This window comes from Homo sapiens, chromosome 5 (assembly GCF_000001405.40).
Source record: "Homo sapiens chromosome 5, GRCh38.p14 Primary Assembly".
Lineage (NCBI taxonomy): Eukaryota > Metazoa > Chordata > Mammalia > Primates > Hominidae > Homo > Homo sapiens.
The window spans coordinates 78892996-78918634 of record NC_000005.10 but is presented as its reverse complement, the minus strand read 5'-3'; the positions used below and the strand labels follow the sequence as shown (position 1 = coordinate 78918634).

The 25639-nt window shown below is 39.8% G+C and overlaps 1 protein-coding gene across 9 annotated transcripts in view, besides 1 other annotated feature; it reads left to right on the top strand.

The window, feature by feature from the left end:
• The window catches only part of ARSB (arylsulfatase B), a 208750-nt gene that overhangs the window by 67324 nt on the left and 115787 nt on the right, over positions 1–25639 (top strand). The window lies entirely within an intron of this gene.
• Positions 18477–18566: a silencer, noted in NCBI's record as "silent region_16126". NCBI's record gives its function as "represses an Ori minimal core promoter by ATAC-STARR-seq in GM12878 lymphoblastoid cells {active_cell/tissue: GM12878}" and the evidence as "EXISTENCE:reporter gene assay evidence [ECO:0000049][PMID:35858748]".

The window sequence follows — 25639 nt, the reverse complement described above, 5'->3', positions numbered from 1 at the left end:
AGTTTCTAAGTTTCAGAAATACCATGTTGGGTTGAAAGTTCTTTAGATGTGTATTTGTGCATGCATGTGTGTGTGTGTGTGTGTGCACATGATATTGAGATTTTTGCCACTTAAAATTTATGAGACTAATGTCAGTTGTTAGCAATAGAGAAAACTGGGCTTGGGGCATATGGAAACTTTCTGCAACATTTCTGTATATCTAAAACTATTCTAAAATAAGGAATTTATTTTTTTCAGTGTAAGAAAGTCCCTTGAAATAAAATTTGATACAGTCTGCAATGAACTGAATTAAAACATCCCTGAAAAGTTTCTATAAAGTTTAATTCCACGTAGAAAATAACTTAATAAAAAAACCTCACAATGTGTTGCCTTCCTAAAGCTTCTGACTTCAGCTAACAGAAGCATTAAGAGTAGTGGTTTTAATATGTATGTAATAGTGCCATCAGAAATCCCTAATGTGCAGATATATTAACTATAAAATTACATGTCAAATATTTAGTTGCTGTATTTAGAAGACAATACAATTCCTAAGAGAAACAATAAGCCTATTTACTAATACATCTATTTTCTACACCTCAGTCAAATTTATAGTTAAAAACTAGAATGAATTGTCTTTAGGGTTGAAAGCCTGTCTCATGATGCTGATGAGCCAGCGTAAGGAAGTGTGGTGACTGTTTGAGTTGTGTCTGTCTCTTGGTCTGTTCTCTTATAAGTTTCTAAGAAATTAACTGATGGTGGCCAAATTTGATTGAAGTATATCTAGTCTTCCTTGATTCCCCCTTGAACCTGTGGTTTAATATTCCACCTTTAAACATAACTGCAGGCTGGGCACAGTGGCTCACTCCTGTAATCCCAGCACTTTGGGAGGCCGAGGTGGGTGGATCACTTGAGGTTAGGAATTCGAGACCAGCCTGGCCAACATGGCAAAACCTCGTCTTTACTGAAAACATAAAAATTAGCTGGGTGTGGTGGCACACAACTGTAATCCGAGCTACTCTGGAGGCTGAGGCATGAGAATCACTTCAACCCAGGAGGCAGAGGTTGCGATGAGCCAAGATTGTGCCACCACACTCCAGCCTGGATGATAGAGTGAGACTCTGTCTCAAAATAAAATAAAATAAAATAAAACAAACACAATTGCATTTTAAAAAACCAGTGATTTAATTGAGAAAAATGCGTATGCTCAGACAAAAAAGAAAAAAAAATGACTTCAGATGGGCATGTATCCTATCAGATAAATAAATTTCAATAAAATTAAGTAGGTGGGTTATACAGATAATGAGAGAGAAGTAATGATAATCATAAAATTTGAGTTGACGTTCCTTTGTGCTTTATGCATTTAGCTTAAGTTTTTCTTGACAACAGACAACTATAGGAATATAGAATATAGTCTGTAGTTTAAAAGGAACTTTGGCACAATGTATCCAACTACCTAATACTGTATTAGAGAGGGCCTTTGAACTTGAGCTTCCTCTGCCTAGAGCTCTCTTCATCCTGACCTGACAGGGTTGACTCCTGGTCATTTTAATTCTCAGCTCAGAAGTCAACTCCTCTATCTTCTGCACCCTCTCCCTTTTCCCTCATGGTCTGCCCCATCACAGTGTTTGGTTTCTGTCCTGGCACTCACCACAGTGGGAATTCTCTCAACGTTTATTATTTGCTTTCCTTATTTATCACCTGTCTCCTTCACCAGAATTCAGCTTTATAGGAGCAGGGGCCTTGTCTGTCTTGTTCACCACTATATCATTCCCTGTGCTTGGCACATAGCAAGTTGGTAATTTAAAGTTTGACATTGAAATACATGTGTGTGTGTATCTATGTGTTTATAATTACTGGTAGAAACAGGCCAAAAAGATCCCCCCAAGAATGAATAACAACCTCCACTTACTAAACCTTTGTCTCATTCTTTGCTCCATTCCTGATTTTCTTACACACTTGTATTGCTTTTAGGACATGATAAATGATACAACTTAATAGGAAAATGATAAATCTCAAGGAGAAAACTTGGCATTAATGTAACATTTAATCTGCAGAACAAATTGATGTTGTAGCTTCCTTCTTATCTTTCTGTTTTTATCAATAAGAGAAAGATGTCTTTGGGGATGGGAAGGAAACAGAGGGTCTTGAGGTAGGATTCCCAGGGGTCCTCATCTCAGTGACCTCTTGTTCTACGTGCATTTTCCCGGAAGACAGGCAAGTTTAGTGTTTTACCACATTAACCCTGAAATCTGATAAAGTCTGTTCTCCTCTTTAAACTAAAGACAGTTTGTCTGTGTGCCCAGGCCCAGTCTCCTTTCTTCTGGACTGGAACAGGCCAGGGAAGATTTCTGGGCCTTTTTTCTCTTTCTTTCCGTAGTCAGGGCACCTGGCCACAGCTTTGTCTCTTATCTTGCCTTAGAACTTGCATGGGAAGCTGTCATAGACCGCCTGCTGAGAGCCTTAAAAGAAATGTAAGGTAGAGTGTGTAATTATTATCAGCTGTTCACATATGAGATGTAAGTATCTTGGATATTTTGGATTTTATGGAAGTCATACGCGCTTACCACATTATATTCATCCCGAACTTCAGTAATTTTACAATGAATCATTGATCTTAAGGAAGACTTGTAATAAATGCTAATCTCAGAGCATTAATGAAGACACAAACTAAGACTACATAAAGGCTATACAGGATGAGCATCCCTAACCTGAAAATCCACCATCTGAAATGCTCCCAAATCTGGAACTTCTTGAGCCGATATGATGCCACAAGTGGAAGGTTCCACACGTGACCTTCTTTGACTAGTCGCATTCAAAATGCAGTCAAACTTTGTTTCATGCACAAAATTATTTAAAATATTGTATAAAATTACCTTCAGGCTATGTGTATATGAAACATAAATGAATTTTGTGTTTAGATTTGATCCCAGCCCCAAGATGTATCATTATGTATATGCAAATATCCCACAAAAAAAATTTTAAATCCCAAACACTTCTGGTCCTAAGTGTTTTGGACAAGGAGTATTCAACCTGTAGTGTCCACTTAGATCTGGTTGGTGTTAGCTTCCATTTTACCTTCTTATTCATACCCTCACTCTCCTTTTCTTTTTTTCCCCAAATTAATGTAGTATCCATATTTAGTAGAAAGCCTATTTGACCTTTCTCATTATTGCCTGTAGGACATCTTTTCTTTTAGTGTGTAGAGTTAGCTTGCCTTCGACTGACATTAACAAAGTGCTTTCCTAATCACGATCCTCAATGCAGATAGTCTTTTCCTGGAATCACTTGTTTTCCTTTTAGTTACGGTATCAATGCAGCTCAGAAAGGTCCTAAGGTCATGACTGATGAAACTTCAAGAAAAAAAAAAAGCCAAGGGCCTAGAAATTGTGTCAATTTTAATTGATTAGAGGTGGCAGCAGTAGTTCTTGGTCAAGTAATTATCAAATAACTCAAAAAGGTATCCAGGAAATGACTGGGAAGCAGAAACCAAGCTGATTGCGCATTGATAGTGAAAACCAGATTTGTTTGACAAAAGGGAAAGTTTCTGCCAGAATTGAATTATGTCTCTTCTAGGCAAAAATACACACATAAGGAACAAGGAGCAAGCTCAAAAACTAAAGAAAGTAGCCCATTGCCTGGCAAATTACTAGAAAAATAATAGGAACGTTTAATGTCCATAAGAAGACTTTCATGAGGCCAGGTGTGGTGGCTACCACCTATAAATCCCAGCACTTTGGGAGGCCAAGGCAGGTCACTTGAGCCAGAGTTAAAGAACAGCCTGGCCAACATGACCAAACCCTGCCTCTACTGAAAACAGAAAAATTAGCTGGGCGTGGTGGCAGGTACCTGTAGTCCCAGCTACTCGGGAGGCTGAGGCAGGAGAATCGCTTGAACCTGGCGGAGATTGTAGTGAGCTGAGATCATGCACGCCAGCCTGAGTGACAGAGCGAGACTCTGTCTCAAAAACAAAGACTTTCATGAAATAAAACGAATAATGAGGTATCCTTGGCATCATCTGATGGCTCTGAGTATTTGTTGGGCTGCTCCATTCTGATACGTGGGCCATTCTGTCCAACAAGGTGTGGCATTGAGAAGGATTGGTGGTCACATTAAGGGCTTGTTTTCTTTTATATTGTTAAATAATAGACTCTGAAATGTTACTTTTCTCTGTAAAACAAGGTAGTACTTCCTAGTTCATTTCTTTCTTCTTTGTAAATTAATATTTAAAATAATACTTTCTAACTTTTGGATTACCAGATTAGACTTTATTGTATAATAAACCACATGATTTTAGATTTAAAGTCAGCTTTTGAAAGAAATCCTTATTATTTGTTCATTAATTTTAATTAAAAATTTGATAATGTTTCTGATAAAAAATATTAATATGTGGCTGCTGGGCACAGTGGTTCATGCTTGTAATCCCAGCACTTTGGGAGGCCAAGGCAGGAAGATTACTTGAGGCCAGGAATTTGAGACCAGCCTGAGCAACATAGTGAGACCCTGTCTCGAAAAAAAAGTTTTAAATATTAGCTGGGTGTGGTGGCACATATCTGTAATCCCAGCTACTCAGAAGGCTGAGGTGAGAAGATGACTTGAGCCCAGGAGTTTGAGGTTACAACGTACTATGATTGCACCACCGCACTCCTGCCTGGGTGATAAAGTGGTATCTTGTCTAAAAAAAAAAAAAAAAAATCATGGTATTGAAAGGTATAAAGAGGAAAATGTGAATTATTATTATTCTACTCCTAAGGTAAATATTTAACCTTTTATAGTGAAAATTTTTCTGACACTAAAAATTTTTTTAAAAACATGAGTTTTAACAATAGCAGTCATCTTAAGAAATCATTATTGAGGTGACTACAGCTAGCAAAGAAATTTTTTTTCCCCCAGCTGAAATCTTGGGTACCTTTATACTTTGGTATAAACATGTACACATAGTAGCAGAGAATAATTGTGATGCACTAAGCTGGCAGGTCTGTGGATTTCAGCTCCAAACACAAATATGTAACACTGAGCCTATATTGAAATATGGATTAAGAGGCTCTAACTCACTTTTGTAAAATAAAATGATAGGAGCCACATTTGTGTTTAATTATAGCATGAGAAACCTGAGAATCAAAAGAAATAAGTAAGTTCCATCACACAACAGGATAGGAAAAATAGAAAGTCTACCTCACACTGCTGCATTTGTCTGTAACTTGGCCTACTTTATGAAACTCAAAAGCGAATTAAGCCGGGCGCGGTGGCTCACGCCTGTAATCCCAAGCACTTTGAGAGGCTGAGGCGGGCGGATCACGAGGTCAGGAGATCGAGACCATCCTGGCTAACACGGTGAAACCCCGTCTCTACTAAAAACACAAAAAATTAGCCGGGCGAGGTGGCGGGCGCCTGTAGTCCCAGCTACTTGGGAGGCTGAGGCAGGAGAATGGCGTGAACCTGGGAGGCGGAGCCTGCAGTGAGCGGAGATCGCGCCACTGCACTCCAGCCTGGGCGACAGCGAGACTCTGTCTCAACAAAAGAAAAAAAAAAAAAAAGCGAATTAAAACTACATTTTAAAAGCCTGGTTCTCATCACAGTTTTTGGCTGTTAGGGATAGGACTGGTGCAGGCAACATTGCTCCAGCTGACCAGGAAATGGTCTTCCAGAATCCCTCTGATTTAATGAGCCCTATCTCCTAGCTCTGCGTGGGTTTTGAGTAACCATGAAAAAAAGCTTTTAAGTGATCAAAATGATATATTGATTCTTTCTTTCTAATGCCTTGAATATTCTTTCAGCAAAGCTGCTTTAAAAATAATTTCTGATTTTCTATTTGGTTTTTATCAAGACATGGAAATGGATAGAGGTATTGTGAATTGATCCCAAGAGGAAGAAATTCCTGTAAAATGTAGATGCGTTGGTCACATGGGGGAGAAGCTCCTGTCTGACCTCTATTTCATATTATGAGCTCAAAACATGCTTTCTCATGGGCCATGTGACATCATGTTTGGTTGAGCAAAATGTTAATGTTGCAGTGATTGGGATCAGTGCTGTGCTTCCTGACCCACCTGCTGCATTGGTAAACCTGAAACCACCGCAGCAAATATGTTTATTTGCTTTTCCCTGAAATGTGCTGTTCCTTTTTACCTCCTACAGATAAAACTGACAGGCCCTTTTCCTGCTAGCCAAAAACAGTGAGGAGAACCAGGTGGAAGACACAGCTTTTAAAATGTAGTTTTAATTCACTTTGAGTCCCATAAAGTAGGCTGAGTTACAGACGAGCTGTGGGCTTCACCAAATCACTCCATGACCTCACTTTCCTTCTGGCAAACCTCTCCCAGTGCAATATGTTGATATCGTTGATGGAGTATGAGAAACAGCTTGCTGGAGAAGAGCCTGCCTGTGATCTCTTAAGGTTGCCAGACAACATCACTGTAGGCCATCTTCTCTCTTTTTCCTTATGCTTCAATTTCCCATGGCTTTTGTGTACTACAATAACGTCAGTAACCAACCTCACTGGAACCACTTGGCTTGTAGATAGTGAAAGCTCTGTTTACATTAGAGGTAGTTTCAGAATTGATGAAAGCCTGTGTTGACTTCTTAGTTTCTTATAGTGGATATTTTGATTGAAAACACTGGAATCTCCAATGTGATAATTGACCTTACTGTTGTGTACTGAGATCTCTATTTTAGATTCTCCCCAAATACCACCTTTTTTCTATTTTTAAAATTATTATTGCAAATTCAGTCAAATAATATGGTAGACAGAAATTTGGATGGGCTTCAGGAAAAGAGGTTTAATAGTGGATTTGCCCCTAACTAGCTGTACAGCCTCTTGCATATCATTTAATCTATCTTGACCTCATTGTCTTTGTATTGAGATTCTGTGGTCCAGTCATGGGAATTAAAATCACCATCCATAGAAAGCTGTGTCTCTCGTCTCTTTGTGATTCAACACTTCATCTTTTCTGCAGAGTAGAACACCTTGTAGGCAGGTTCATAATCTTCTCTGTACTTGGAAATCACCCGGAAAGCCCCCTTTCAAGTTTCTAATTGCCCAAGTTATTCTTTTTTTTTTTTTTTTTTTTTTTTTTTTTTTTTTTTTTTAGAGGGAGTCTCACTCTGTTCCCCAGGCTGGAGTGCAGTTGTGCGATCTGAGCTCACTGCAACCTCCGCCTCCTGGTTTCAAGCGATTCTAGTGCCTCAGCCTCCTGAGTAGCTGGAATTACAGGCGTGCACCACCACACCCGGCTAATTTTTGTATTTTTAGTAGAGACGGGGTTTCACCATGTTGGCCAGGCTGGTCTCAAACTCCTGACCTCAGATGATCCATCTGCGTTGGCCTCCCAAAGTGTGCCCAAGTAATTCTATAATGTAGCCAGGATGAGAACCACTGGTATCAGGTCTAGACCCAGGGACTCATTATTATAAAACATTCCCCTTTGACATACCTTTTCATCCTTGAGTCAGGACAATTTTACCTTTCAGAAAGTAGCTACAGTCCTTTTATAATTTACTCCTCACCAAAGGTAAAATACATCCATTTTCTCTGTGTGTGACTTCTGACTATTCTGCACTGATTCAATACCCCTTCGTTTTTTGCTTATTTTTTCATTCTCACCATTCAACCACACTTGACACTTGAATCACTTTTGTTGATTTAAAAGAACAACAACAACAAAAATACAGAGTAAGATCACTTGACTTTATTGTATTAGCCATTAAATCTCTTTCTGGAGCAATAGTTCTCTAAGTATGGTCCCAGGAGCAGCAATATCACTATCACCTGGAAACTTGTTAGAAAGGCAAATTCTCAGGCCCCTTTCTGGACCAGAAGCTCTGGAGATGGTTCCCAGCAGTCTGTTTTCACAAGACTTCTAGGTGATTCGACACACTATTGCTTGAGAGCTGTTCTAGAGAGATTTTATATTTTCAGATAGTTGGATTTTTAAAAATTTTTTTAGTGTGCTCAGATATTTTTGAAGTAATCGTTGTCTGAACTTACTTGGTCTAGAAATAGAAGAGATGTTCTATTTCTAAAGGGGATATTTCCCAATCCTACCCATCTTTTTATCCTTTAGAAGTTTTCATCTTCTTTTCTGCTTTTAGAAGACCTATCCATATCTCTCTTATTTTTACACTGAAAATTTAGTCTTACATTCTATTATCATGGAAACTTTAATAATCAATGCTATTTCAATGATGTATTATGATGTGATGTAACAATAGATGGGGCAGTGACTAATACAACATTAATTTCTACTTCTTCATTTGTTTATTTTTATTGGACCTTCAGATGACATTCTTCTTACTTTATGAAGGGGGCCAGCCCCTCCACACCTGTGGGTATTTCTCATCGGGTGGGACGAGAGACTGAGAAAAGAAATAAGACACAGAGACAAAGTATAGAGAAAGAACAGCGGGCCCAGGAGACCGGTGCTTAGCATACAGAGGACCTGCACCGGCACCGGTCCCCGGGTTTCCTCAGTATTTATTGATTACTATTTTCACTATCTCAGCAAGAGGAATGCGGCAGGAGAACAGGGTGATAGTGGGGAGAAGGTCAGCAAGAAAACATGTGAGCAAAGGAATCTGTGTCACAAATAAGTTCAAGGGAAGGTACTATGCCTGGATGTGCATGTAGGCCACATTTATGCTTCTCTCCACCCAAACATCTCAGTGGAGTAAAGAGTAGCAGAGCAGCATTGCTGCCAACATGTCTCGCCTCCCGCCACAGGGCGGCTTTTCTCCTATCTCAGAATTGAACAAATGTACAATCGGGTTTTATACCGAGACATTCAGTTCCCAGGGGCAGGCAGGAGACAGTGGCCTTCCTCTATCTCAACTGCAAGAGGCCTTCCTCTTTTGCTAATCCTCCTCAGCACAGACCCTTCACGGGTCTCGGGCTGGGGGGATGGTCAGGTCTTTCCCATCCCACAAGGCCATATTTCAGACTATCACATGGGGAGAAACCTTGGATAATACCCAGTTTTCCTGGGCAGAGGTCCCTGTGGCTTTCTGCAGTGCATTGTGCCCCTGGTTTATCGAGAATGGAGAATGGCGATGACTTTTACCAAACATACTGCCTGTAAACATTTTGTTAACAAGGCACATCCCACACAGCCCTAGATCCCTTAAACCTTGATTCCATACAACACATGTTTCTGTGAGCTCAAGGTTGGGGCAAAGTTACAGATTAACAGCATCTCAGGGCAAAGCAATTGTTCAGGGTACAGATCAAAATGGAGTTTCTTATGTCTTTCCCTTTCTACATAGAGACAGTAATGGTCTGATCTCTCTCTCTTTTCCCTACAACTTAAGAACACAGACACAGATTATTTTTTAAAGTTATTCTTAAACATGTGGAATTACTTTATAATAAACCCAAAAGTTGCTGTTGTTAGAGGGAAATTTTTACTAAGTCAAGTACTCTCTGGAAAAAAAAATGTGTGAGCATAAGCTAATATCATAAATGAAATGATGAAGAAGAGGATAAGGGCACATGGTCCTAAGTGAGGAAACTTTGACCCAGAAACCTTTTGCAGTGACAGAAGTAGACCAAGAGTCCAAGTCTCCATGCTTCCAATTCAGTATTCCTTGCATGAAATGTCACTGCCTTTCGAGACTATACCGTTTACCTAATTGGTTGGATCTTTGTCAAGAGCTTGATCCAAGTGGAGTTTCTTTGTTTAATATATAAAGCATTTGCAAGTCCTTTCAAGGGCAGCACATAGTTTTATTTAACTCCCTCAAGCCCTCTCACCTCTGTCAAGTTGCACCAGGAAATTCAAGGTCTAGCCAAAGGCCCCCAATGAGTTAAAAACCCAACCATCCTGCAGAGTAGAAGAAATTAATGTCAAAACCAGATGTTCCTCTGTGGGCCTTGCTGGATTCATAAGTCAGGATAAAGCCAGCGTGGATGCATGCATGTCAAAAAAAAAAAAAAAAGTCTTGGCCAGTGTTGTAGAGAAATGAAGTGTTGTTTCATCTGCAGTTCCTCTCCAGTCCTTGCTGGTTGGGAGCACTGGCTCCCGGGAGACTGGTGGCCCTGACACTCAAGCCATTAACTGAGAATGCTCTCTAATCCCTTGTTTTCATTGTTGGTGTTCCGGCCAGGCTGCCCGCACAGAGCCTGCCCGTTTTCATTGGCTGCAGGAATTGTTATTGGAGTGGCTGACAGCTGTCTGCCAGGCTGCCTGAAACTGCCTTCCTGTGCTCTCCGCTGCTGCTCCACTTCACAGCGCTATTGTTCCTGTTGAGCCTTTTCTTAAAATCTTTCCCAGCTGTATCCTGATATGGTAAACCACTTAAATTAGCTCCAGATTGTTCTGTTTATTTTGTGTTAGATAAGCGACAAAATACAGTCCCAGCGGCAGACCAAGAGGAGAGTGGAAGTCGGGGGAGGGGGGTCAGAGGACACAAGGTCTTTTACAACACAAGGTAGAGTTCCCAGACAAAACTGTGAGAGGCACAAGTATGATACAGTCACTGGCCTGACCATTTATACGTGACTCTGATGGGCCAGGTGAGCAATAACGTTGCATCTGCGCACACCTCATTCCAGAAAAGAAAATCAAGACCCCAGCATACAGCTACACTGGAAGGGAGCTAAATTTCTATTATTGGAAATAGACACAGTATTGCTGTCAGGTTGGTTGCCATGCCAGCTGTCCAGGTACCATGCTTGATGCCCTGATTACCACAAGACTTCCCCCTTCCCCCTGCTTTTAATTATCCTTCTGTAGTGCAGTGTATGGTAACTGATGGGCTCAAAACTGGCCCACATTTGCCAGTCTCCCTATATGCTCAGCACTTGAAAATGAGTCTTCTCTGCTGTAATTTAAAGCTAGAAATCCAAAGACATTGAGTCACCAGCATAGGTATTTTCCACACAGCTGCAAGTGAAACTTCACAATGGACTTGGCCGCTATTTGCTTACACTTGCCATCTGTGCAACCGCTCTACCCGTGGCCTCCCCCGCTTTGTGGTTGTCTTCTAACAGGAGCAGTCCACGCAAAGCCTTCCTGAATACTTAACAAAATTTTAAAAAATATAATAGATACTGTCCTAGCATGAAGGCGCTGCCTTTGTGATTTTTAGGAATTAACCCAAATAAAATATGAAAAATAAACTACCGAGTGCTTTAACGCAGCTAAAGCATGCAAGCAAAACCAGCAACCAGCTGAGTTCCGACAGTTACTGAGAGTTTTGTATGTGGTAATTCAAGACTCCCCAGGAAAGATCTCATGACTCACTCCAGTGTGGCTGGGCCTCCAGTCCTCACTCTGAACCAAAGTCCTGGAAACACTTTTCCACCACGTTGAGAGAAGGCGAGGGAAGAACAGGGTCAGGAGTGATCAAATGCCCTTAGAAACAGTCTCTTTCTTTCCTTTTGGGAAAACAAACTCACTGTGTAATAAAAAGGTACAAAGCCAACTTTGGAATAATAATCACCCCGCCCCATCCCCTTGCCCTCTGATGGAAAGTGCCTTGTCTTCTCCATCAAGGTCTAGCTGGGGGCTTGAACGGCCTCCGTGTCACCTCTAATTCCCCAGTTTTTACCTTGTTTCCTTTCTCTGTATCTTTTTTGCCCTTAGTTGTGTACAGTCTTGTATTTTTTCACATAGGCTATGCTTTCTGTGGATGTTGCCTCCCTCGAAAGCAGGGACCATGTGTTGAACCCCTGTTGCCTTTTCCCAGAGTAGCGGGCACCTAGCAGGTGCTTAATTAAGGTGTGTCAAATAATTGTTTCCTTTTTTATTCTTACCTGACATGAAGTATGCTCCTGTATCAATTCAGATGAAGGTTTAAAAAAAATCAAGACAAGTATCACAAGTTCCCTTAGCCCATTCTCATTAAAATCATGGGCACCACCTTCCCGTGCTCACCAGGATGGAGGAAGTCAACAAATATCTTTCTCATTGATTAAAAACTCTGGATAATACTGAAAGCAACTATCTGAGGCTTCTTAAAAGTACTTAGGTTGGTGCTAAAGTAATTGAGGTTTTCGAAAACTGCAATTACTTTTGCACCAACCTAATATAACAGCAGGGATGATAAGAATAGGGACAGAGAAGAAAACAAAATCAGGTGAATGGAGAATGGGGAATAAAGTCAAAGCTTCATGAATCCCTTGTGTGGTGAGTTTTGGAGGTTTATTTTCTCTCCTCTATCTCTTGGCTTTGACCTAAGAGCCAATGGAATTATGGAACTATGCAGCAGGCACTGGCAGCAACATCTCCAAGAGAAACCTCCTACTTCTAACCAGAGGTCTAGGAAAGTGGGCTCTTGCTCAAGAATATGGGGAATTCCTATTTTATTTGTTTTTTCTTTTCTTTTAATTTTTTGAGATTGAGTCTCACGCTGTTGCCCAGGCTGGAGTACAGTGGTGTAACCATAGCTCACTGCAGCCTCTACCTCCTGGGCTCAAGTGATCCTCCTGCCTTAGCTTCCCAAATAGCTGGGACTGCAGTCATGCACCACTACACTTGGCTAATTTTTTTTTTTTTTAATTTTTTATGTTTGGTTAGCGATTGGATCACACTATGTTGCCTGGCTGGTGTGAGCCACAGTGTCCAGACTGTTTTTTCTTTTTCTTTCCCTTTTCTTTCTTAACTCTACCCCAAGACAGGCCCCAGTTGAAGATCTGCATTGGTGTTGTGGTGGGGTGCAGGCACCTAAAATCTCAAAAGAAGACCCACATTTCTGACCGGAGTGTGAGATAATCTCTGTTATTTTCCTCTTTTTTTTTTTTTTTTTTTTTTTTTTTGCTACTTTGCTCCCAAAGGCAACCTCAGTTATGCAGAAGTGCATGACAGAATGGGGAACTACAACCTAACAGAAACCTGTTTTTCTGATCAGAGAAACCACATAAAGGGGCCCCTGGAGCGGAGGTTGGGGGTGGATCTGAAGGATCTAAAGGGAGAGAAGAACTGGAGAAGAGGATCCCCTGATTCTGTGTATGAGCTAAGCCCCAGGCTCACCTCCAAGTGCATATATGCCACACAGGCCCAAAGGAGCAAAGCAGAGGCTTCGAAAACTCAACTGCCATGTGAACCACTGCCCAGGTCCTAGATTAACCCCTGAGTGGCACATGCGCTGGGCAAACCCAAACCTCATAGCAAAGGCTTTAAAAACTAAACTGACATTAGAGCCACTGTCCACAGAAGGTGAGACAAAACTTGTGGTCTGAGTCTCACTAGGTTGATTCTCTGCTTAACCAAACAAACATCAACACCCTCGAGAGGATTTTAACTAGACCTAGAGGCTCAGAACATGGTATTCAAAATGTCTAATAGACAGTCCAAAATTACTCATTATACAAAAAAAAAAAAACAGGAAAATACGAGCAGTACTCAAGGGAAAAGACTAAAAATAGATTATTTCAGCTGTGATGAGCTCATTTGAGATGATCATCCAAATATTGGTGTTGTCAGACAAAAACTTTAATGCAGCTATTGTAACCATTCTCCATGAGACAAAGTTGAACACTCTTGAAATGAATGGAAAAATAGCAGTGAAATAGAAACTAAAGCCAAACAAATGAACAAACAAAACAAATGAAAATTATAGAACTGAAAAACACAATATCTGAAATTTAAAATTAACTCTATGGGTCCAATAGCAGAATGGAGCTGATAAAGAAGAGTCGGTGAACTTCAAGATAGATCAATAGAAATTATACAGTCTGGGCTGGTCGTGGTGGCTCGTGCCTGTAATCCCAGCACTTTGGGAGGCTGAGGTGGGCAGATTGCTTAAGGCTAGGAGTTCAAGACCAGCCTGGCCAACATGATGAAACCCCATCTCTACCAAAAAATACAAAAATTAGTCAGGTGTGGTGGCACACGCCTGTCGTCCCAGCTACTCAGGAGGCTGAGGCAGGAGAATTGCTTGAACCCAGGAGGGCAGAGGTTGCAGTGAGCTGAGATAGCGCCACTGCATTCCAGCCTGGGCAACAGAGTGAGACCCTCTCTCAAAAAAAAAAAAAAAAAAAAGAAAGAAAGAAAAGAAAGAAAATTATACAGCCTGAAACACAGAAAAAAGGAAGAAAAACAGTGCTGCAGGGACCTATGGAATAATATCAAAAGGTCTAGCATTTATGTCATTAGAGTCCAGAAAGAGAGCAGAAATATTAGTGTAGAAAAAATATATAAAGGAATAATGTGTGAAAACTTCACAAATTTGGTGCAAGATACATGTACAAATTCAAGAAGCTCAGTGAAATCCAAACAGGATAAACTCAAAGAAAACTACACCAGCATCATAATGGAACTGCTGAAAACTAAAGATGAAAAAAAAAAATACCTTGAAAGCAGCAGTCTCATTCATGGGATTGAATGAAATTGAATGAAAGCATGTTCACACAAAAAACAATACCCATATATTTATAGCATCTTTATTGATAATTACTAAAAACTGAAAAACCCAAATGTCCTTCAACTAGCAAATAGATAAACAGATGTGGTACTTCTGTGCAGTGGACTACTACTCAGTAGTGTAATGAACTGTTGATACACACATTAGCATGGATGAATCACAAATGCATTATGCTGAATGCAGGAAGCCAGACTGAAAAGATTACACACACTATGATTTTTTTATATGACATTCTGGAAAAAGCAAAACCTTAACGACAGAGAAGCATCAGTGGTTGCCAGGGGTTAAGGCTGGGTGTACAATTTGTCTACAAAGAGGTGGTACAAAGGAGTTATATCACAGTGATAGAATGTTCTATCCTGATTGTGGTGGTATTTATATGACTCTATTTGTTAAAATCCATAATGATGCACACCAAAATAAGTGAATTTTACTGTATGTAAATTAAAAAGAAATCACCAGCACATGATTTCATATCTGATATGGTTAATATATCTTCATGACTATGTGAAGTATAGAAAAGATTCATGTAATCTCTTATCTATTTTGAAGTCATTTTCCATTTGATTCCATAAACTTTCAGGAAGCCAAAAATGGAATAAACAATGAAATGGTCTCTGATACATACAGAAAGCTTTCCAAAAAAGAATTTTGTGTTTCATATGCCAGGCAGATGTTTTGTAGGGTCAGCTTACCACAAAAGGCCTCGCTGAAAAAATGCAGTATAAAAGTAGGGGCCTGTAAGAGAAAGAGAAGCACATTGACTCCAGAGGAGGTCTACTGTTTTATAAAAGAAGCCAAGCAAATTTGATGGACTGGTGAAAACAAGAACAAAGAATCTGACATGTCTTGGAAGCTCTGGGTTTTGATAATTAGGGAAGTATTTAGAATGCTGTCTCGAGGAATCACATCTTTTGTGCTGAGATATATCCCTGCTTGTGTTCTGAAATATACATGGAGTGGGCAGGCTTGGACTGTTTAAATGAAGCAGATTTTTTACATTCTTGTGACACTAGGAAGACTTTTCCTGAATGTAGGATTTTTTCTTTAACGCACCTCTCATCCAAATGGCAAAACATCCAGGATGGGTGCTTACTTGCAATGAGATCTCCCCAGCTGACCAGAGCTGTACTTTCTCCCACTGCTTATTCCCCCTCTGAAGTTACATCATCATTTTGCTCCCTGGTACACCATTATGGGTCTTATCTATTTTTATACATAAATATATTAAACAAAACTGTTGGTTTTAAGAAACTTTTGACCTATTCTAAGACCTATTCTCTGTTTTTCTATAAAAGTTTTATGGTTTTAGCTGTTGCATTTAGGTCTTTGATCTATCTTCTTTTTCCTCATACAGTATTGTTTTTATTGAGATATAATTCATATACCATGAAATTCATCCTTTTAAAGTATACAGTTCACTGGTTTTTAGTATATTCACAAAGTTGTGCAATCATCACCATTGTCTAATTCTAGAACATTTTAAAAATTAAACATACAAGAAATTCTCTACCCCTTAGCAGTTACTCCCAACTCCCTTTCCTCCCTCTGTCAATCACATAATCTATGTTTTGTCCTTATGGATTTTACTAAGCTAGACATTTCGTAAAAATGGAATCATACAATATATGGCTTTTTGTGTCTGGCTTCTTTTATTTGGCATAATGTTTTAGATGTTCATCCATTTTGTAGCATAAATCAGTATTTCATTTCTTTTTGCTGATGCATAATATCCCTTTTATTGCTATACATTGCTGAAAATATACATTTTAAAAAATCCATTAATCAGTTAATGGATATTTGGGTTGTTCCTACTTTTTTGGGCTATTATGAATAATGCTGCTATGACCATTCAGGTACCAATTTTTGTGTGGACATATATTTTTACTTCTCTTGGGTATATACCTAGGTGTGGAATTGGTGGATCATGTGGTAAATCTATGTTTAACTTTATGAGGAACTGCTAAACCCTTTGCCATGGTTTGAAGGTATCTCCCAAAAGTTCATGTGTTGGAAACCGAATCCTTCTGTCCTCATGAATGGATTAATGAGGGTTTTGCCATCATGAATAGATTAATGTCACTGTCACAGGAATGGGTTCATTACATTGAGAGTGGCTTTGTTATAAAAGTGAGTTCTCTCAGTCTCTCTTGCTCTTGCCCTCTTATCATATGATGCCCTCTGTCATGTTATGACACCACATGAAGGCCCTCACCTGGTGCCAGCACCATGTTCTTAGACTTCCCAGCCTCCAGAACCATGAGCTAAATAAACTTGTTTTCTATATAAATTAACCAGCCTATGGTATTCTGTTACAGCAACAGAAAACAAGACTAAGACACTGTTTTTCAAAGCAGCTGCATCATGTTACACTCCCACCAGCAATTTATGAGTGTTCCAGTTTCTCCACGTCCTTACCACCACTTGTCAATTGTCTGTCTTTTTTGTTATATAGTAATCCTATTGGGTATAAAGTGGTATCTTCTTATGGTTTTAGTTTGTGCCTCTTGGATGACTAATGTGGGACATCTTTTTGTGTATCTATTGACCATCTATTTTTGTGTATCTTCTTTAGAGAAATGTCTATTTAAATCCTGTGTCAATATTTTAATTTGGTTATCTTTTATTATTGAGTTGTAATATGATTCATCTTTAATTTTTATGTGTGTTATGAAGTAGGGTTTGTCAAGGTTTTGTTTGTTTTTTTTAACGTAGATATCAGAATACTCTAGCATTATTTTTTTTTGAAAAAACTATTTCCCTATTGGTTGGTTTGGCACCCTTGCTAAAAAGCAAATGACCATTTAAATGTGGTTGTTTTACTAGGCACTCCATTCCAGTTCCATGAAATCTTGATTACTGTAGCTTTATAGTAGTTCTTGAAATTGGATAGTATAATTCTTCTAACTCTGTTCTTCTATTTGAAAATTGATTGCAGTCTTGGGATAAATATCACTTTATCATCATGTTTGTGGTAGGCAGAGTAATCCCCCGTCTCCCTCCTGCCTCCAAACATGCCCTAAAGCCTGGAACCTGTGAATATGTTATGTTATATGACAAGGGGAATTAAGATTGCAGACCAAATTAAGGTTTCTGATAAACTGACCTGAAGATGAGGAGATTGTCCTGGATTATCTGGTTGGACCAGTGCAATCGGTGACCTTAAAAGTGGAAGAGGGAGGCAGAAGAGGAGGTCGGGTAATATGATATGAAAAGGATTCAACCATCATTGATGACTTTTTTTTTTTTTTTTTTTCCTGAGACGGAGTCTTGCTCTGTCGCCAGGCTGGAGGGCAGTGGCGCGATCTCGGCTCACTGCAAGCTCTGCCTCCCAGGTCCCGGGTTCACACCATTCTCCTGCCTCAGCCTCCCAAGTAGCTGGCACTACAGGCGCCCGCTACCATGCCCAGCTAATTTTTTTGTATTTTTAGTAGAGACGGGCTTCACTGTGTTAGCCAGGATGGTCTCGATCTCCTGACCTCGTGATCTGCCTCCTTAGGCCTCCCAAAGTGCTGGGATTACAGGCGTGAGCTACTGCGCCCGCCCATTGCTGACTTTGAAGGTGAAGGAAGAGGGCATGAATCAAGGAATGCAGGATTTCAAAATGGTAGTATAGAAGCAAGCCAGCTTCAATCCCTCAATAGAAGACCAAAAACAAATATATAGCATTGAGATTTTCACCAGCAACAACCCAGAGTTCAAGTATGAGGATGAGACAGCCCCCAGGGCCACAGAGAAGTGGAAAAACCTTGAGCATATGATTGGAGAATCAGATTTCCACGTCTGCGAGTCCCCTCCCCTACATTCTTTCAGCACCAAGCATGTGGAAAATCTCCCTCAATTCTGTTTTTACACTGGAAAAAGTGAAATTGAGTGGTCAACCAGCTTCCTCACCTTCTTGGGTTCCGTAGCAGGAGTCCTGTCCCTGCCTTAACTCATGGGAAGCATTGTGAGTGCCTGTAGGGAGAAATATCTCTGAGGACAGGCTGCAACAAAGGTCAGAAGGTGAGACTACCATCCCCAACCCTGGAAACTCTGCTCTGTAACTCAGCCAAATGAGACACCAAATCAGAGTGGCTATTCAGCAGCACCACACTGTAGGAGGTACATTCCACAGGTTCCCATGGGCAGGAACCCCTAGCCAGTCTTCCCACACTGCTGACTAGGGGTTCCTGCCTAGGAGCCTGTAGAACATACCTGGGATAATCCCTTTGGTGACTCCCCCATTTGGGACAGGCAGCACTGCAACCGTTTACTAGAGCCAAAGTGAACCTGGGCTTATAGCGCCACCTAGAGCCGAAAAGGAGGCAGCAATCTAGTTGCAAAGATTAAGCAAATATATTCAATGAAAGACAAAACAAGCTGGACAGAGAAAACTAGAATCAATAATTAATCCTTCAATGCAAAGACATAGACATATACCCGCAAGTAACAACAGCAAACAGGGAACCACAGTCTCCCCAAAGGACAAAGCAAAAATCCAATGACTGACCCTAACGAGATGGCGACTATTAGCTTCTGACCAATAATTTAAAATAGCAGTTTTAAGGAAACTCAGGTATCTCCAAGATAATACAGAAAAGCAGAAATTTATCAGAGAAATCTAACAAAGAGATTGAAATAATTTTAAAAAATCAAACAGAAATCTTAGAACTGAGAAATACATTTGCCAAACTGAAGAACTCTTAAGAGGCTCTGAGCAGCAGAGTGAGCCAAGCAGAGGAAAGAATCTATGAGCTCAAAAACCAGCTGTGTGAAAATACACAATCAGAGAAGAAAAAAGAAATAAGAATAAAATGTAACAAAGACCACCTACAATATGTAAAAAATTACCTCAAAAGACCAAATCTAAGAATTACTGCTGTTGGTGTTCAAGAGAGAGTGAAGCGAGAGCAAGGGGTAGAAAGTTGATTCAAAAGGATAAGAACTGAAAACTTTCCAAAACTTGAGAAAGAGAAATATCCAGCTACAGAAAGGTCAGAGAACACCAAACAGATTTGACCCAAATAAGACTACTCCAAGGCATAGAAAAATGAAACTCTCAAAGGTCAAGGACAAAGAGAGGATCCTAAAAGCAGCAGAGAAAAGAAGCAAATAACACGTAAAGTAGCTCTAATTCATGTGGCAACGGATTACTCTAAGGAAACTAAACAGGCCAGGAGGGAGTGGAATGGCATTTTCAGATTGCTCAAAGAGAGACAAAAAAAGCCTGCCATCCAAGAATATTGTATCCAGCAAAATTATCATTCAAATATAAAGGAGAGATAAAATCTTTCCCAGACAAACAAAAGCTGAGAGAATTCACCACCACTAGATCCATCTTGCAAGAAATACTAAAGGCAGTTCTTCAGTCTGAAAGAAAAAACGCTAATGTGCAAAAGAAAACTTTTCAAAGTATAAAACCTACAGGTAAAATTAAGTACCTGGACAAACTCAGAATACTCTCTTACTGTATTGCTGGTATGCAATCCACTCATAACTCTACTATGAAGCTCAAAAGACATGAGCCAAGGAGTGAAAACAGCCTCTAGAAGCTAGAAAGGCAAGGAAATGGATTTGCTAGAAAGGCAAGGAAATGGAACTTCCAGAAGGGAATGCAGCCCTCTCAACACCTTGACATTAGCCCAGTGAGACCTGCATCAGACTTGTACAGGCCTCAGCAGCTGAATGTATTGTACAGCCTGCAGAACTGTACAATAATAAGTGTGTATTGTTTAAGCTGCTAAGTGTGTGGTAATAGAAAACTAATGTATGTTTTTTTATATAAAGCTAAATTTGATTTCCTAAATATTGTTAAAGATTTTTACACCTGTGTTCATTGTGGTTTTCTTTTTCTGTAATGTCTTTGTTTCATTTTGGTGTCAGAGTAATGCTGGCCTCATAGAATAAGTTGGGAAGTACAGGATTCCTATCTATTTTTTGAAAGAGTTTGTATAGAACTAGTATTATTCCTTTCTTAAATGTTTGGTAGAATTTGCCAATGAAGGCATTTGGGCCTGAAATTTTCTTGGTGAGAAGGTTTTGTTTTGTTTTGTTTTGAGACAGAGCCTCACTCTGTCGCCCAGGCTGGAGTGCAGTGGCACAGTCTCGGCACTGCAACCTTTGCCTCCCGGGTTCAAGCGATTCTCCTGCCTCCGCCTCCTGAGTAGCTTGGATTATAGGTGCCTGCCACCACACCTGGCTAATTTTTGTATTTTTAGTAGAGCCGGGGTTTCTCCATGTTGGCCAGGCTGGTCTCGAACTCCTGGCCTCATGTGATCCATCCACCTCAGCCTCCCAAAGTGCTGGGATTACAGGCGTCAGCCACCGCACCCGGCCTGTGGGGAGGTTTTTAATTACTAATTTCAATGTCTTTAATGGGTATAGGGCATGTACGTTATCTATTTTTTCCTGAATGAACTTAGATTAATCATTTTTGAAGTCTTAGTTGCTAGAAAAAAATATTTAAAAATTGGTGAATTTTCTCATTAAAGCAGCTTTTAGTGCATTTTTGAATATAGTAAATATAAATATTTTATATTTATAGAATATATTTTAGATCTGAAAAATAATTATTATGAGAGTCCACATATTACAAAAATACAAATATTATATCTGAGTCCTTACTTACCAGGAGATCTGATTATAACTTGATTTCCCATACATTTATGCCACTCCCATGGGCCATAAACATGCCAGTCACTGTGATAAATTTACTTTGTAAATCAATTAATTGACTTTGTGATTATATATATATCATTTACAGTGATTCTGCTTCTAAAAAGTGGAACCTCTTTCCATATGCTGTTAGAATTATTTATAAGCTTACAGAGGTTTAGGCCAGACCCCAAACTGTGTTAAATTCACAAGGTAATGAGTGCTAACCTGTGAAGCCTCTTGAAAGAGAGGTCACTACCTATCTCTGGCCATATGTCCCAATCCTGCCATTGTATAGGGCAGTGGTTTTTACTGAGAGTATTTTAGAAATTCACTTGAGTGTTACTGATAGTTAGTGAGTAGGGGGCTCAGGATGCAATGCCCGTAATAACCCCACACAGTGAGGAATTGTCCCAAGTCCTGTACAACTTACAAAATATCCTGCTGGTTAGTCATGAAGATTAAAAGCTTGTTTACAATTTTCTGAGACTAGAACCTAAGTCTAGTCTCTATGTTTTACACATAAACACAAAGTATTTTTTGCGTGGTTTTAATATATAATTAATATTCTAATCTTTATTTTAGCATTTATCCCTGCTCTCTCTTTTTTTTTGTATTTCTACTATAGAATGGCCTTAAGTCCAAATTTATTTCGTCTATAACTGTATGCACTCATCTAACCACTTTGCTATGTCTTTTAGGGTTGAACCTGCGCATTTTCCTATGAAATACATGCTATTTTATTATTAATTGCCTTTTTCTACTCTGTATTACACTGAGAGTTATTTTTTTTAATTAGACATATAGTTACAGTATTGTATATAAATTCCATTTCAGGACAAAGGAGCATCACAAAATATTTGTTATGAAAAGGGTGGGGATGTTAGATTTGAAAAGCCTGAGAGGCATGTTATAGAAACAAACTTTCTTCTGATTTCAGTACTTTTCCTATCATTATAGTTGCTATTACATAAAAATGTAAAGTCTTGGAATGAGTCCATATTACTGCTTCAAAATAACCAAAACAATAAAAATGGATTTAACTTCTATTTCGCCTACAAAATAGCCTAACACAATTATTATATCCATCAAGTCTAGGACATCCAGCCATAGTGCTCACACATATGCATAGTAATCACAAATTTCAGTGCACAAACTTAGATCTGCAAAGAATATAACTTACTTCTTTTTTACCCTGTCACTGAACGCAGTACCTCTGGGGTCCCTATTCTGCTGGGTGGAGGAAACCTGGTTCCAGTCAATTCAGATCATCTCAGTTAATTCATGATCTCATCCTGGCTCCCCTCCAGGGAGCCAGTGCGTTGGAGCTGAAGGAAGTGTGTGGTCCATAGTCATCCTTGCACAAGCCTCTGCAGAAACATTCCTGTTCCTGGCTGGCCTTTTTATATCATCCATCTAGATCATGCTGCGACCTCCTTGCCTGCGGAGACTCTTTGGACCATCTCTGTGCCACATTTGTGCTCTTCTCAACACCAAATCAAAAACATTCATCAGTTCAGCTGCAACCCCTTCCACACTGTGGTGTGAGAAGCCTCTGAGCCTGCCTTCCATCACCTTGTGCAACCATTGTCATCTGCTGCTGCCACACTATACTGGGCACAAGAACCGCAGGGAGTCTTGCTATCCTCTCATCTGCCCCCCGGCTCCTCCAGGGGATGAGGCATGGTTCTTTCCACTCTTGTATCCCTCCGTCCATTATTTCTTCTACACTAGATCCAGTCCTGGGGGCAGAGCCCAAGATGTGTGCTTAAGGTCACAGCCATGTCCTTTAGCTTCGTTTCCAGTCCTCTCTCTTCCCCTGGCTCTGAGTGATTGCTTAAGCTAAATCTATTAGCTCATCCACCTGCTGACTATCCATTTCCGGAGCCCAGACATGGATCTCCCTGCCTGCTTCCTGGGTTGAGGGTCACAGGGTGACAAAATTACTAGGAATGAGAAAAGCTGTTACTTAATATTTGGAAACATCATTCCAGTGGAGATGCAGGGCACATGAGGCATACTGCTTAGCCTGTAATAATTTTCTCTCTTTTCAGTCTATATGCCTAACTTTATGCCAGGATAGTGAAAGTTTTCATGTGCTTATCGTTGTGACCTTTGCAAGGTATCAGGTGAAGAAGGCAGGCACATTGTATTGCTGTAGATAAATAGGATTAATGACAGGAATATGGGATATAAACCTTTTTGCTAGGTCTAAACCATCCTTAACTATGCCATGAGTCTCTCACTATCTTAATGATGTAGGGTCATCATTTTAATTTTTTTATTGTAGTATGCATCTTTCAGTGGTGTCTTCAATATACGTCAGTGTGGATCATTTAATGTTGGAAAAACAGGTAAAGACACTTTAGTTTGTGGTCTACTTTTACAATTTATACTTTTCTTCTCCTTTCCTCCTTCTACAAAGATTATGTCCAGCAGTATGCATCTTCCTGACTTGCAGATTCTAGCCTGCTATAAAATTAGGACACCAGACACCGCACATATTGCTAGAATTGCGTCTGAGACTGAATAGGTCCTGAGTTAGTCTCTAATTGCATGGACTTCGTGGTGCCTATTGTGGTAACTCAGGGGCATTTGTTTTGATTTGTTTGTTTGTTTGTTTGGTTGGTTGGTTTGGTTTTTTATCCTGGCCCTTGGCTGTTCATCCCTTTGTCTCCTGCTGCAAGGCCTCCTGTTAGCCATTTGCCTCTCATTAGGCATGGAGCTCCAGGCTGCCTTCCATGTTCTTTCCTCCTGAGTGGCCTCCTCACCTGCTTGGGATGTCCAGTGTCAATCACCTGGATTCTGCCCTCACTCCCACTGTGCATGCCCTGGTCAGAGGTGGGGCTGCTGCCCAGGACTCTGGGGGCTCACAGAGTTTATTTCACTTTGGCCTTGGAGCAAGTGTTATCTGCAGATCCGAAGAGGTTCTTGTTATTATTGATTAAGTATGCATTCAATATTTGAAATGCTTTAAACAAACTGCTTCATGTTTGGATATATTGAGTTATTTTTGTTTCTGCCATTAAATGTTTTACTCTCCGGTTATTCTTCAGGGAGGATTGTGCTCATCAGTGTTCTCGTGACTTTTGTTTGCCTCTCTCTGCATTAAACACCCAAACATCAGTGAGATCCTTTAGAATCTGGCAAAACTTCAGAGAACTCTGAGGAAATGAAACTGCCTGTCCACTCAGTTTCATTGATTTTTCTGAGTAACCTTAAAGGCATATCTTACTACTTAAGAAGTAGAGATTCAGTAAAATGTTGTTTCTGTTCCAAGGATAAAAATTGAGAACATTTAACTTGTATTATATACTTGGAATCATAAAGACAAATTGAAATAGTTGATGTCTGCCCAGATAGAATGTGCTAGCTTTCTCTGGCTTAACCATCTCTGAAAACACATTGACATAAATTTCCATCTTTCTCACCACGCAAGTTGTTAGTACACCTGTTCTTTTGAAACCACAATTCTGTTTGTTCCTGTGTGTTGATGGTATTTTCACTTTTCTCCTGCTGCCCTTGAACTTGCCAGACTCTCCAGCACTTGTGTGGTACTTTTCTCATTCATTACTTCTCTAGTGGCATTACTGAAGGATAAACAGCTGTCTAGTCAAAATTATCTGGCCACGTTCAGTGGGTTTTAGGTCTGAAAGGGGAGCCAAATAATGTGTGAGTAAACTGTAACACTCCCTAAGAGTGCCAAAAAAATTAGTTTGCCTGGAAATCCATTAGTAAAAAATATCAAACATTCCTAAAAATTAAACAATAGGAAAAACAAACAGGGTTTTAGTTGTTAAAAAGGACAGACCAAATATTTGGTACTTTTACTCGCTTAATACATCAAACATGGGTCTTCTGTGCTACTTGTCAGGGGGATTCTGAATATGAAGATCAAACCTTGCATTACCCATACCTCCTAAGTGAGAGCACCTCAACATTTTGTGCTTACCTTACAACTTTCATCTAAAGATCTCCAAGATCTGTGAATACTTATGTTTTAAATTACAGGAAAAAGTTAAGTTGTTGCTTGCCAATATGTAATAAATTAGGACACTGTTTTCCAGTTTCCAGTTCCATTTTAACTTGTAGAGAATAAACGTTTTCAATCTTTCAACAGACTTTGGAGTCTTTTCATCCTTAATAAATGTTAAAGGAGAGATAAAACCCCATTGATATCTCAGCATTATAAGCAATGGCATTAGCCTCATTAAAGTGAGGAAATATTTTACTACAAACTTTTATAACATTTTTCTTTTTAATCCTCATTCATCCCTGATTTTGCCCTTTCCCTGCATGCATCTTTTTTAAATCTCCACATCTTTTGGTGGCTACATCCGTGTATTAGTCCATTTTCACACTGCTGATAAAGACATACCCAAGACTGGGTAATTTATAAAGAAAAAGGTTTAATGGACTCACAGTTCCATGTGGCTTGGGAGACCTCACAATCACGGTGGAAGGTGAGGGAAGAACAAAGGCACATCTTACATGGCAGCAGGCAAAAGCAAAATGAGAGCCAGGTGAAAGGGGAAACCCCTTTTAAAATCATCAGCTCTCGTGAAGCTTGTTCACTACCACGAGAACAGTATGGGGGAATCTGCCCCTGTGATTCAATTATCTCCCACTGGGTCTCCCCTACAACACATGGGAATTATGGGAGCTACAATTC